Raw genomic sequence first — 12,491 nt, 5'->3', positions numbered from 1 at the left:
TAATATATGTGGAAGGAATGAATGAATGTACATCGAATGAATGAATGAGCACACTTTGGATGACTTGTAGGCCCATCACATGGGTTTGGCTGCAGAGGGTGGCTGAAGCCAGTCTTTATGACTGCATTTGTTGTAACCTTCCTGTACTGTGGTGAGGGGTTAGCATTCACTCACTCATTCACTCATTGTAAGAATATCACAAAGGGTTTGTTTTTTTTCTCAACCAATTGAGTTGTCACCATGATAACCCACCACCAAATATGTTAGTGTGAACTACCTACGAACAGGGATGTTTTCCTACGTAACCACATCTAGACATAGAAATCGGGAAATCAGCACTGATGTATCATGATTATCTGATCCACAGGTCCTGTTCGAGTTTCCTCAATGGCCCCAGCGACGTCCTTTACAGCACAAGAGTCCCTTCCAGGATCCCTTGTTGCATTTAGTGGTCATGTCTCTGCATTTAGTGTTTGCATTTAGTGGTCTGTTGCATTTAGTGGTCCGAGCTGTTCCTTGGAACAGCTTTTCCATCTTTCCTTGACTTTCAGGACTTTGCCCTTGGATGATCACAGGCCAGGTGTCTTGTGGAGCCCCCGCCCCTCACTGCGGGTTGGGCTGACGATTCCCCCACGATGAGGCTCAGGTGATGCCTCTTGGGCAGGAAGATGGTGAAAGCGACGCAGAGCTCTCACTGCATCCTGCCAGGGCACACAGCTTTAATGTGGCCCATTGGTGGTGATGTTAACCTTGACCATCAGATTAACATGGCATCTGCACTAAAGGAATCAGATTATCTGACTTCAAATTATACTACAGAGCTATAGTAACCAAAACAGTAAGGTACTGGCATAAAAACAGACACATAGACCAATGGAACAGAACAGAGAACCCAGAAACAAATCTATACATCTGTAATGAACTCCCTTTTGACAAAGGTGCCAAGAACATACGTTGGAGAAAGGATAATCTCTTCAACAAATGGGGCTGGGAAAATTGGATATTCATATTCAGAAGAATGAAAGTAGACCCTTATCTCTCTCACCATATACAAACATCAAATCAAAATGGATTAAAGACTTAAATCTGGCCAGGCAACATGGTGAAACCCCTTCTCTACAAAAAATACAAAAATTAGCCAGGCATGGTGTCATGTGCCTGTAGTCCCAGCTACTTGGAAGGCTGAGGTGGGAGAATGGCCTGAGCCTGGGAGATGGAGGTTGCAGTGAGCCATGATTGTGCCACGGCACTCCAGCCTGGGTAACAGAGCCAGACCCTGTCTCAAAAAAATGAAATAATTTTTTTTAAAAAAAGACAAATCTAAAACCTCACACTATGAAACTACTACAAGAAAACACTGGGGGCTAGGGGCAGTGGCTCACTCCTGTAATCCCAGCACTTAACGGAGGCTGAGGCAGGTGGATCACTTGAGGTCAGGAATTCGAGACCAGCCTGGCCAACATGGTAAAACCCCATCTCTACTAAAAACACACACACACACACACACACAAAATTGCCAGGCATGGTGGCACATGCCTGTAATCCCAGCTACTCGGGAGGCTGAGGCACGAGAATCCCTTGAGCCCAGGAGGTGGAGGATGCAGTGAGCCAAGGTCACACCACTGCACTCCGTCCTGGGTGACAGAGCGAGACTCCGTCTCAAAGAAAAAGAAAAGAAAACATTGGGGAAACTCCAGAACATTGGTCAGGGCAAAAATTTCTTGAGTAATACCCTACAAGAACAGACAACCAAAGCAAAAATGGACAAATGGGATCACATCAAGTTAAAAAGCTACTCCACTGCAAAGGAAACAATCAAAAATGAAAAGAAATCCCACGGAATGAGAGAAAAGATTTGCAAACTAACCATCTGACAGGGATTAATAACCGGAATATATAAGGAGCTCAAATAACTCTATAGGAAACAATCTAATAATCTGATTTAAAAATGGGCAAAAGATTTGAATAGACATTTCTCAAAGGAAGGCTTGCAAATGGCAAACAGGCATGCAAAAAGGTGCTCAGCATCCTTGATCATCAGAGAAATGCAAATCAAAACTACAATGAGATATCATCTCACTCCAGTTAAAATAGCTTTTATCCAAAAGTCAGGCAATAACAAATGCTGGCGAGGAGGTGGAGAAAAGGGAACCCTCATAGACTGGTGGTGGGAATGTAAATTACTATAACCACTATGGAGAACAGTTTGGAGGTTCCTCAAAAAACTGAAAATAGAACTACCAGCAATCAAACTGCTGGGTATATGACCCAAAGAAGGGAAATCAGTCTATCCAAGTGTTAGCTGCTCTCCCATGTCCGTTGCAGCACTATTCACACTAGCCAAGATTTGGAAGCAACCAAAGTATCTATCAACAGAGGAATGGATAAAGAAAATGTGGTACATATACACAGTGGAGTACTATTCAGCCATTAAAAAGAATGAGACCCTGTCATTTGCAACAATATAGATGGAACTAGAGGTCATTATGTTAAAGAAAATAAATCAGGCACAGAACACAAACATCACATGTGCTCACTTATTTGTGGGATCTAAAAATCAAAATAATTGAATTCACGGACATAGAAGGTAGAAGGATGGTTACCAGAGGCTGGGAAGGGTAGTGGGAGGGTAGGGGAGGTGGGGATGGTTAATGGGGGAAAAAAATGGACAAAATGAATAAGACCTAGTATTTGATAGCACAACAGGGTGACTATAGTCAATAATAATTTAATTGTAATCTATCTATCTATCTATCTATATAATTATTTTGAGACGGAGTTTTGCTCTTGTTGCCCAGACTGGAGTGCAACGGCATGATCTTAGCTCACTGCAACCTCCGCCTCCTGGGTTCAAGCGATTCTTCTGCCTCAGCCTCCTGAGTAGCTGGGATTACAGGCACACACCACCACGCCCAGCTAATTTTGTATTTTTAGCAGAGACGGGGTTTCTCCATGTTGGTCAGGCTGGTCTCGAACTCCCAACCTCAGGTGATCCACCCCCCTCAGCCTCCCAAAGTTCTGGGATTACAGGCATGAGCCACGGTGCTCAGCCTAATTATACATTTCAAAATAACTAAAAGAGTATAATTGGATTGTTTGTAACACAACAGATAAATGCTTGAGGAGCTAGAAATCCAATATTCCATGATGAGATTATTATGCATTGGATGCCTGTACCAAAATATCTCATGTACCCCATAAATATATATACCTACTATGTACCCACAAGAATTAAAAATTAAAAAAAAGAAACAAAAACACTCACAGGAGCCAAGTCCAAGTGTGGTGGCTCACACCTGTAATCTTAGCACCTTGGTTACTATAGCTCTGTAGTATAATTTGAAGTCAGATAATCTGATTCCTCTAGTTTTGTTCTTTTTGCTCAGGATAGCTTTGGCTATTCTGAGTCTTTGCTGGTTTGATATAAATTTTAGGATTTTTTTTATATTTCTGTGAATAATGTCATTGGTATTTTGATAGGGATTGCATTGAATCTATAGATTGCTTTGAGTAAGTATGGACATTTTAACAATATTGATTCTTTCAATCCATGAACATGGAATTTCCTTTCTTTTTTGAGACAGAGCCTTGCTCTGTCACCCAGCCTGGAGTGCAGTGGTGCAATCTCGGCTTACTGCAACCTCTGTCTCCTGGGTTCAAGTGATTCTCCTGCCTCAGCTTCCCGAGTAGCTGGGATGACAGGTGCCCGCCACCATGCCCAGCTAATTTTTGCATTTTTAGTAGAGACAGGGTTTCACCATGTTGGCCAGGCTGGTCTTGAACTCCTGGCCGCAGGCGATCTGCCTGCCTTGGCCTCCCAAACTGCTGAGATTACAGGTGTGAGACACCACGCTGGGTCGAACATGGACTTTCTTTCCATTTTTTTATGTCCTCTTCAATTTCTTGCATCAATGTTTTACAATTTTCATTGTAGAGATATTTTACTTTTTGATTAAGTTAATTTGTAGGTGTTTTATTTGTGGTTATTGTAAATGGATTACTTTCTTGATTTCTCTTTCAGATTGTTTACTGTTGGCATATAAAAATGCTACTGATTTTTGTTTGTTGATTTTGTATCCTGCAACTTTACTGAATTTATCAGTTCTAATGTTTTTTTGGTGGTGTCTTTAGGTTCTTCCAAATATAAGATCATATCATCTGTAAACAAGAATAATTTGACTTCTTCCTTTCCAATTTGGATGCTCTTTATTCCTTTCTCTTGTCTGATTGCTTTAGCTAGGACTTCCAGTACTATGTTGAATAACAGTGGTGAAATTAGGCATCCTTGTCATGTTCCAGATCTTAGAGGAAAGGTTTTCACTTTTTCCTCATTTAGTATGATACTAGCTGTAGGTCTGTTGTATATGGCTTTTATTATGTTGAGATGTGTTCTTTCTATACCCAGTTGTTTGAGAGTTTTTATCATGAAGTGAAATTGAATTTTCTCAAATGATTTTTCAGCATCAGTTGAAATGATCTTATGATTTTTGTCTTTCATTCTGTTGATAACAATGTAGCACAGTGATGATTGATTTGTGTATGTTGAACCATCCTTGCATCTTTGGGATAAATCCCATTTGGTCATAACGAATGATCTTTTTAATGTGTTGTTGAACTCGGTTTGCTAGTATTGTGTTGAGGATTTTTGCATCAATATTCATCAGAGATATTGACCTGTAGTTTTCTTATCTTGATGTGTCTGTCTAGTTTCAGTATCAGGATAATACTGGCTTTGTAGAGTGAGTTTGGAAGTATTCTCTCCTCCTTTATTTTTTGGAATAATTTGAGTAGGATTGGTATTAGTTTTTTAAATGTTTGGTAGAATTCAGCAGTGAGGCCATGGGGTCTTGGGCTTTTCTTTGCTAGGAGACTTTTTATTAGAGTTTCAATCTTGTTACCTGTTATTGGTCTGTTCAGGTTTTGGATTTCTTCATGCTTCAATCTTGGCAAGTTATATACGTCTAGGAATTTATTCATTTCTTCTAGATTTTCCAATTTATTGTCATATAGTGCTCACTGTAGCCACTAATGATCCTTTGAGTTTCTGCAATATTGGTTGTAATAACCCCCTTTTTCATCTATAATTTTATTTATTTGTATCTTCTTTTTTTTTTTAGTCTGGCTAAAGTTTGTCAATTTTATCTTTCCAAAAAACCAGCTTTTTATTTTATTGATCTTTTGTATTGTTTTCTTCATTTCACTTCATTTGTTTCTTCTCTGACTTTTCTTCTACTAATTTTGGGTTGGGTTTGCTCTTGCCTTTCTGTTTCTTTAAGATGCATTGTTACATTGTTTAATTGAACTTCCTTCCTTCCTTCCTTCCTTCCTTCCTTCCTTCCTCCCTCCCTCCCTCCCTTCTTCTTTCTCTCTCTTTTCTTTTTTTTCTATCTCTTTCTCTCTCTCTCTCTTTCTTCTTTCTTTCTTTCTCTCTTTTTTTTTTTTTTTTTTTCCCAGAGTCTTGCACTGTCGCCTGGGCTGGAGTGCAATGGTGTAATCTCGGCCCACTGCAACCTCTGCCTCCCGGGTTCAAGCGATTCTCTTGCCTCAGCCTCCAGAGTAGCTGGGATTACAGGCTCCCACCATCATGCCTGGCTAATTTTTTTGTATTTTTAGTAGAGATGGGGTTTCACTGTTGGCCAGGCTGGTCTTGAACTCCTGACCTCAGGTGAGCCACCCGCCTCGGCCTCCCAAAGTGCTGGGATTACAGGCTGCGCCTGGCCTCCCAGGCTGGGATTAAACTGCACCTGGCATCTTTTTTTTTTTTTTAATGTAGACCCTATGGCTATAAACTTCCCTATTAGTACTGCTTTGCTTTATCCCATATTGTGTTTCTGTTATCACTTGTTTCAAGAAAATTTTCAGTTTTCTTCTTAATTTCATCATTGACCCACTAGTCACTCAGGAGCATGTTGTTTTTGTTTTTTTTAAAATTTTTTTTTTTTTGAGATGGAGTCTTGCTCTATCATCCAGTCTGGAGTGCAGTGGCACAATCTTGGCTCACTGCAACCTCCACCTCCTGGGTTCGAGCGATTCTAGCATATTGTTTAATCTCCATGTATTTGTATAGTTTTCAGAATTCCCCTTGGTACTGATTTCTGGTTTTAGTCCATTGTGGGCAGTGAACATGCTTGAGATTATTTCAGTTTTTTGAATGTTTTAAGACTTGTTTTGTGACCTAACATATTATTTCTCCTTGAGAACTATCCATGTGCTGAGGAGAAGAATGTATATGCTGCAACTGTTTGATGAAATGTTCTATAAATATCTATTAGGTCCATTTGGTCTATAGCAGAGATTATGTCTGATTATTTTTGTTGATTTTCTGTCTGAAAGATCTGTTCAATACTGAAAGTGGGGTGTTGAAGTCTCCAGTTATTGTTGTATTGGGGTCTATCTCTCTCTTTAGCTCTAATTATATTTGCTTTATGTATCTGGGTGCTCCAGTGTTGGGTGCATATGTATTTACACTTGTTATATCCTCTTGCTGAATTGACTCCTTTATTATTTATATAATGGCCTTCTTTGCCTCTTCTTTAGTTTTTCTCTTGAAATCTATCTTGTCTTACAGAACTGTAGCTATCCTGCTGTCTTTTGGTTTCCATATTCATAGAATATCTTTTTCCATCTGTTTATTTTCACTCTGTGTGTGTCTTTATAGATGAAGTGTGTTTCTTGTAGGCAACAGATAACTGGGTCTTTTTTTGGTTTTTGTTTGTTTATTTTTAAATCCTTTCAGCCACTCTATGTCTTTTCTGGAGAGTTTAGTATTACTGATAAGTAAGGACTTACTCCTGCAGTTTTGTAATTTGTTTTCTGGTTGTTTTGTGGTCTTCCTTCTTTCCTTCCTGTCTTCTTTTCAGTGAAGGTGATTTTCTGTGGTGGTATGATTTCATTTCTTGCTTTTTATTATTTCTTATTCATTGCATTTTTTTGATTTGAGGTTAACATGAGGCTTGCAAATACTGTCTTATAATGCGTTATCTTAAACTGATGACAACTTAACATTGATTACATAAGTAAGCAAAAAGAAAACTAATGAAAACCCCATACTTTAACTTCATCCCTCTGCTTTTCAACCTTTTGTTGATTCTATCTATACCTTATTGTACTGTCTATGTCTTAAAAAGTTGTTGTAGTTATTATTTTTTATTGGTTCGTCTTTTAGTCTTTCTACTTAAAAGTAGTTTACACACCATAATTACAGTGTTATAATATTCTGTGTTTTTCTATGTACTTACTATTACCAGTGACTTTCATACCTTCAGAAGTTTTCTTACTTCTCATTAATGTCCTTTTCTTTCTGATTGAAGAAACTTTCTTAGCGTTTCTTGTAGGACAAGTCTGGTGAGGAGTGTTCTATAACCTTCTTGTACTTGAATATTGATCTCTTTCTCTAGGTTTGGAAAGTTCTTTGTTGTTATCTTTTTGAATAAACTTCTACCCCTGTTTCTTTGTCTACCTCCTCTTAGATTCACCCCTTTGAGGCTATTTTCTAGTTTTTATAGGCATGCTTCATTATTGAATAATGCCCCTAGGCATTTAATAATGTGTTAAACATTACGTGTTAAATATGGTACATTCATTTTATGGGTTATTATACAGCATTTAAAAGAATGTGAAATCCCTCAGCTTTTGTTTGTCTGGGAAAGTCTTTATTTAAGGATATTTTCTCACCAGATGTACTATTCTAGGGTAAAAGTTTTTTTTTTTTTTTTCTTCTTCAGCCCTTTAAATACATCATGCCACTCTCTCCTGGCCTGTAAGGTTTCCACTGAGAAGTCTGCTGCCAGTCATATTGTAGCTCTATTGTAAGTTATTTGTTTCTTTTCTCTTGCTACTTCTAGGATCCTTTCTTTGTCCTATGGGAGTTTGATTATTAAATGCCTTGAGGTGCTCGTCTTTGGGTTAAATCTGCTTGGTGTTCTGTAACTTTCTTGTACTTGAATATTAATGTCTTTGTCTAGGTTTAGAAAGTTCTCATTATTATCTCTTTGAATAAGCTTCTACCCCTATCTCTTTTTCTACCTCCTCTTTAAGGCAATAACTCTTAGATTTGCCCCTTAGAGGCTATTTTTTAGGTCTTGTCAGCATGTTTCATTATTTTTATTCTTTTTTCATCTCCCCTGACTGTGTGTTTTCAAATAGCCTATCTTCAAGCTCACTGATGTTTTCTTCTGTTTGATCAATTCTGCTATTAAGAGACTCTAATATGTTCTTCATTATGTCAATTGCATGTATCAATTTCAGAATTTCTGCTTGACTCTCTTGAATTATTTCAATCTATTTGTTAAATTTATCTGATAGAATTCTGAATTCTGTCTCTGTGTTATCTTGAATTTCTGTGAATTTCCTCAAAATAGCTCTTTTGAATTCTCTGTCTGAAAGATCTCGTATCTCTGTTTCTCCAGGATTGGTCCCTGCTGCCTTATTTAGTTCATTTGATGAGGTCATGTTGTCCTGAATGGTTGTGATGCTTGTGGATGTTCATTGATGTCTGGGCATTGAAGAGTTAGGTATTTATTTTAGTCTTTACAGTCTGGGTTTATTTGTACCCATCCTTCTTGGGGAGGCTTTCTAGGTATTTGAAGGGACTTAGGTGTTTTGATCTAAGCTGTATCTGCACTGGGCGGGGTGGGGGGCACCTGAAGCCCTGTAACAGTGTGGTTGTTGCAGACTCATAGAGGTATTGCCTTCGTGGTCTTGGATAAGATCCAGAAGAATTCTCTGGCTTACCAGGCAGAGATTTTGTTCTCTTCCTTTACTTTCTCCCAAACAAATGGAGTCTGTCTGTCTGTGCTGAGCTGCCTGGAGCTGAGGGTAGGGTGACACAAGCACCCTCGTGGCTACCACCACTGGGACTGTGCTGGGTCAGACCTGTAACCAGCACAACACTGAATCTCACCCAAGGCCTGCCGTAATTACTACCTTGCTACTGCCTATGTTTACTCAAGGCCATAGGGCTCTACAATCAGCAGGTGGTGAAGCCGGCCAGGCTTATATTCTTCCTTTCAGGGCAGTGAGTTCCCCCAGGCCCCAAGTGGGTCCAGGGATGCCATCTGGAAGCCAGAAACTGGACTCAAAAAACCTTAGAAATCTAGCTGGTGTTCTATTCTATTACAGTTAAGTGGGCACTCAAACCACAAGACAAATTTCTTCCCACTCTTTCCTCCCACTTCCGTAAGCAGAGGAGCCTCTCCCATGGCTACTACCGTTACAAGCCCATGGAGAGTATTACCTGATTACCATCAGTGTTCACTTAGAGCCCAGGGGCTCTTCAGTCAGCTTGTGGTAAATGCTGCCAGGCCTGGGACCCTCCCTTCAGGGCAATGGGCACCCCCTTGCCCAAGGCAGGTCCAGAATTGCCTTGCTCAGGGAACCCAAAAGACAAGGCCTTGTGTCAGGGACCCCAAGAGCCCACTTGGTGCTCTACCCCATTGTGGCCGAGATAGAAACTGAAACCAGCACATCTCAGTCTCACTCAAGGCCCGTGGTGTACTACCTGGTATCGTTACTAGTTATTCAGGGTCCAAGGGCCCTTTTGTCAGTAGGTGATGAATCCTGCCAAGACTGAGTCCTTCCCTTCAAGGCAGTAGGTTTCTGTCTGGCCCAGGTGTGTCTGGAAGTATCATCCAGGATCTAGGGCTTGGAATAGGGGCCTCACAACTCTGCCCAGTGCCCTGTCCTACTGTGGCCGAGCTGGTATGCAAGACGCAAGACAAAGTCCTCTTTATTTTTCCCTCTTGTCTCCTCAAGCAGAAGGAAGGAGTTGCTTTCATTGCCGTGAGCTGTGCTGCCTGGGGTTGGAGGAGGGATGGTGCAAGCACTCCCTTAGCCACCCAAGCTGGTGTCTAACTAGGTCACATGTCCCCCAAGTCCACTGGATCTGAGCTTAGCACAGCACTAGGTCTTGCCAAGGGGTTGCAGTCCTTGTGGCCTAGACTGCCTTTAAAGTTTATTTAGGCCCCCAGAGAACTTTAGCCTGTGGTGGCAAAGCTTGCCCAAACTGAAGTTCCAGTCACTGGGATGGGCAATTTCTCTCTGGCTAGGGCTAGTCTAAGTGCTCCCTCCATGGGTGGGCGCTGGCTGAGTTCAGCCCAGTTTTGCTTTCTGTTGTGACAAAGCAGCAGCACTGAGTTCAATGCAAAGTCCCACAATCACTGCACCTTCCCTCCCACAAGCACACAGATGATTGCTCTGTGCCATGCGACAGCTGCCAGCGGGCAGCAGAGGGATGGTGTCAGCAATTAAAGAGTGCCTTTCCTACCCTCTGTGGTGCCTCTTTCAGTAATACGAAGTTAAAACTGTGATTGCTCACCTCATTTTTTTATTATTATTATTATTATTTTTTTTTCTTGAGATGGAGTCCCACACTATCACCCAGGCCAGAGTGCTGTGGCTTGATCTTGGCTCTCTGTAACCTCTACTTTCTGGGTTCAAATGATTCTCCTGCCTCAGCCTCCCAAATAGCTGGGATTACAGGCGCCTGCCACCACGTCCGGCTAGTTTTTGTATTTTTAGTAGAGATGGGGTTTTGCCATGTTGGCCAGGTTGGTGTTGAATTCCTGATGTCAGGTGATCCACCCACCTCAGCTTCCCAAAGTGCTGGGATTATAGGCATGAGCCACCGTGCCCAGCCTGATTTTTAGTTCTTATGCAGGTGCTTTTTTGTGTAGATCATTGTTAAATTTGGGAGGACAATTGGTGGAGGATTCCATTTGGCCATCTTGCTCCACCTCTTTTCCCCTGTGTTGTTTTTTGACATGTCCCATCATTCTTTGAGCACTGCCTTGTTTCTATAAAAAAAGATTTCAGGCTTATTTTGTACCTTTCCTGCCCAAGCTCTACAATCAGCCATTTCTCCAGGGAGCCCTGATTTTATATATTGGAGAATGGTATTTAGAAACCAAGATCTGAGCTCTAGGTGTATTCATTACTGTTGAGGTCTAAGGCCTTCTCAGTGGACAGAGCAAGGAAACAAGCATATTAATACACACATTTCTATGCGGATCTATTTCTGTACTTATATTGAAGACCATGAGTGCACACCAGTTCCTCCGACCCAACCCCATGGAGCGCATTCTCATTTTCTCCCTTTCCAGATTTGTGACTCCCTTTTCCAACAGTGAGAAACCTGGTTCCCATTATCATCAGTGTATTTACTATTGTATCAATCCCCAGTGTCTGACCAATTTCCAGTGGATGACCCACCTCCTAACATGGATGTCCTGACCACTCTTCTCGGGTCCTGGCACTCTGTGGGCCACTGCTGTCCCCATAAGTAAACTCTCCTCATCCCTTTTGGGATCTGGAACTCTGCACCAGGACAATTCTGGGGCCAGGTCCCGTGGATACCTCCTCATTGCATTGGGGCTTCTGGAGGCAAGAAGTCTGAGATCAAGGTGCTGGCCTGGTCGGGTTCCCAGTAAGGGCTCCTTTCCTGGCTTGTGGACAGCTACCTTCATGCTGTGTTCTCACATAGACTTTCTTCTTCTCTCCTAGAGGGGTACCAGTCCTATCAGATGAGGGTCCCACCCTTATGACCTCATGGAACCTTCCTTATTTACCTCCTAAAAGCCCCATCTCCAAATGTAGTCACATAGGGATTCAATATTTGAATGTTGAGGGATACAACTTGGTCCATAGTGCCCAGCTGGGCCCTGCCACCCTACCATCCTACGCTGGTCTGCCATCCTGGCCCCTCCACCACCTGGACTCTGACACCTACTCCAGGCCTGTGATGCTGCCCCTCCTCCTGCTGCTGCGCTTCATGCCACCAGGGGGCCCACCATCACCTTGCTCAGTCTAATAGATTTTAAACTAAATTATTAAGGAAGGGAGAGAAGGAGAGAGTGAGGAAGGAGAAGGAAGAGGAATGGAAGAAGTTGAAAATATATTAACTTTTTGAATTTAGGTTTTACATATTTGAAAACATTTACTTGGTGGCTCATAGGTTCAAAGTTTGCCTTTCCTCAAAAATTCTTCCTTTTACTACTAAGCCAGGACCCTCTTTATCCCTAATAAAGCTATTTGTCTCAAAGTCACTTTTGTGTGATATCAAAATTGTGACAACAGCTTTCTTTTGATTTCGTATTTTCTTGGTATATTTTCCCCAACTCTTTTCTTAGTCCTCCTTTTTTCATTATATTTTAGGTATGTCTCTTGTAAACAGCAGATGGCTGGATTTTTTTCTTTTACTTTAAGAAGTCTGTCTTTTAACTGACTACATTATTTATATGAAATAGAATTCTAGTATATTTTGACTCAGTTTTCCCAACTTATTTCGTATTTTCTTTTTACTGCATCCACTTTTTAACTGGCATCAACCCCCTTCTTTTGGGTTGGTTGTGTTTTACGCACCTCCTCCTCTTTTCCTCACTCCACTGGTTTGCAAGTTATACATTTGATTTCTTTTCTTTCAGTGCCATGCTCTGATAAAATAAAGGACATTTATTACAGAAAAAAACCCCGTAGTGCAACAACTGCCTCTTCCT

This window comes from Homo sapiens, chromosome 21 (assembly GCF_000001405.40).
Source record: "Homo sapiens chromosome 21, GRCh38.p14 Primary Assembly".
Lineage (NCBI taxonomy): Eukaryota > Metazoa > Chordata > Mammalia > Primates > Hominidae > Homo > Homo sapiens.
Note: the sequence above shows the minus strand (reverse complement) of the source record.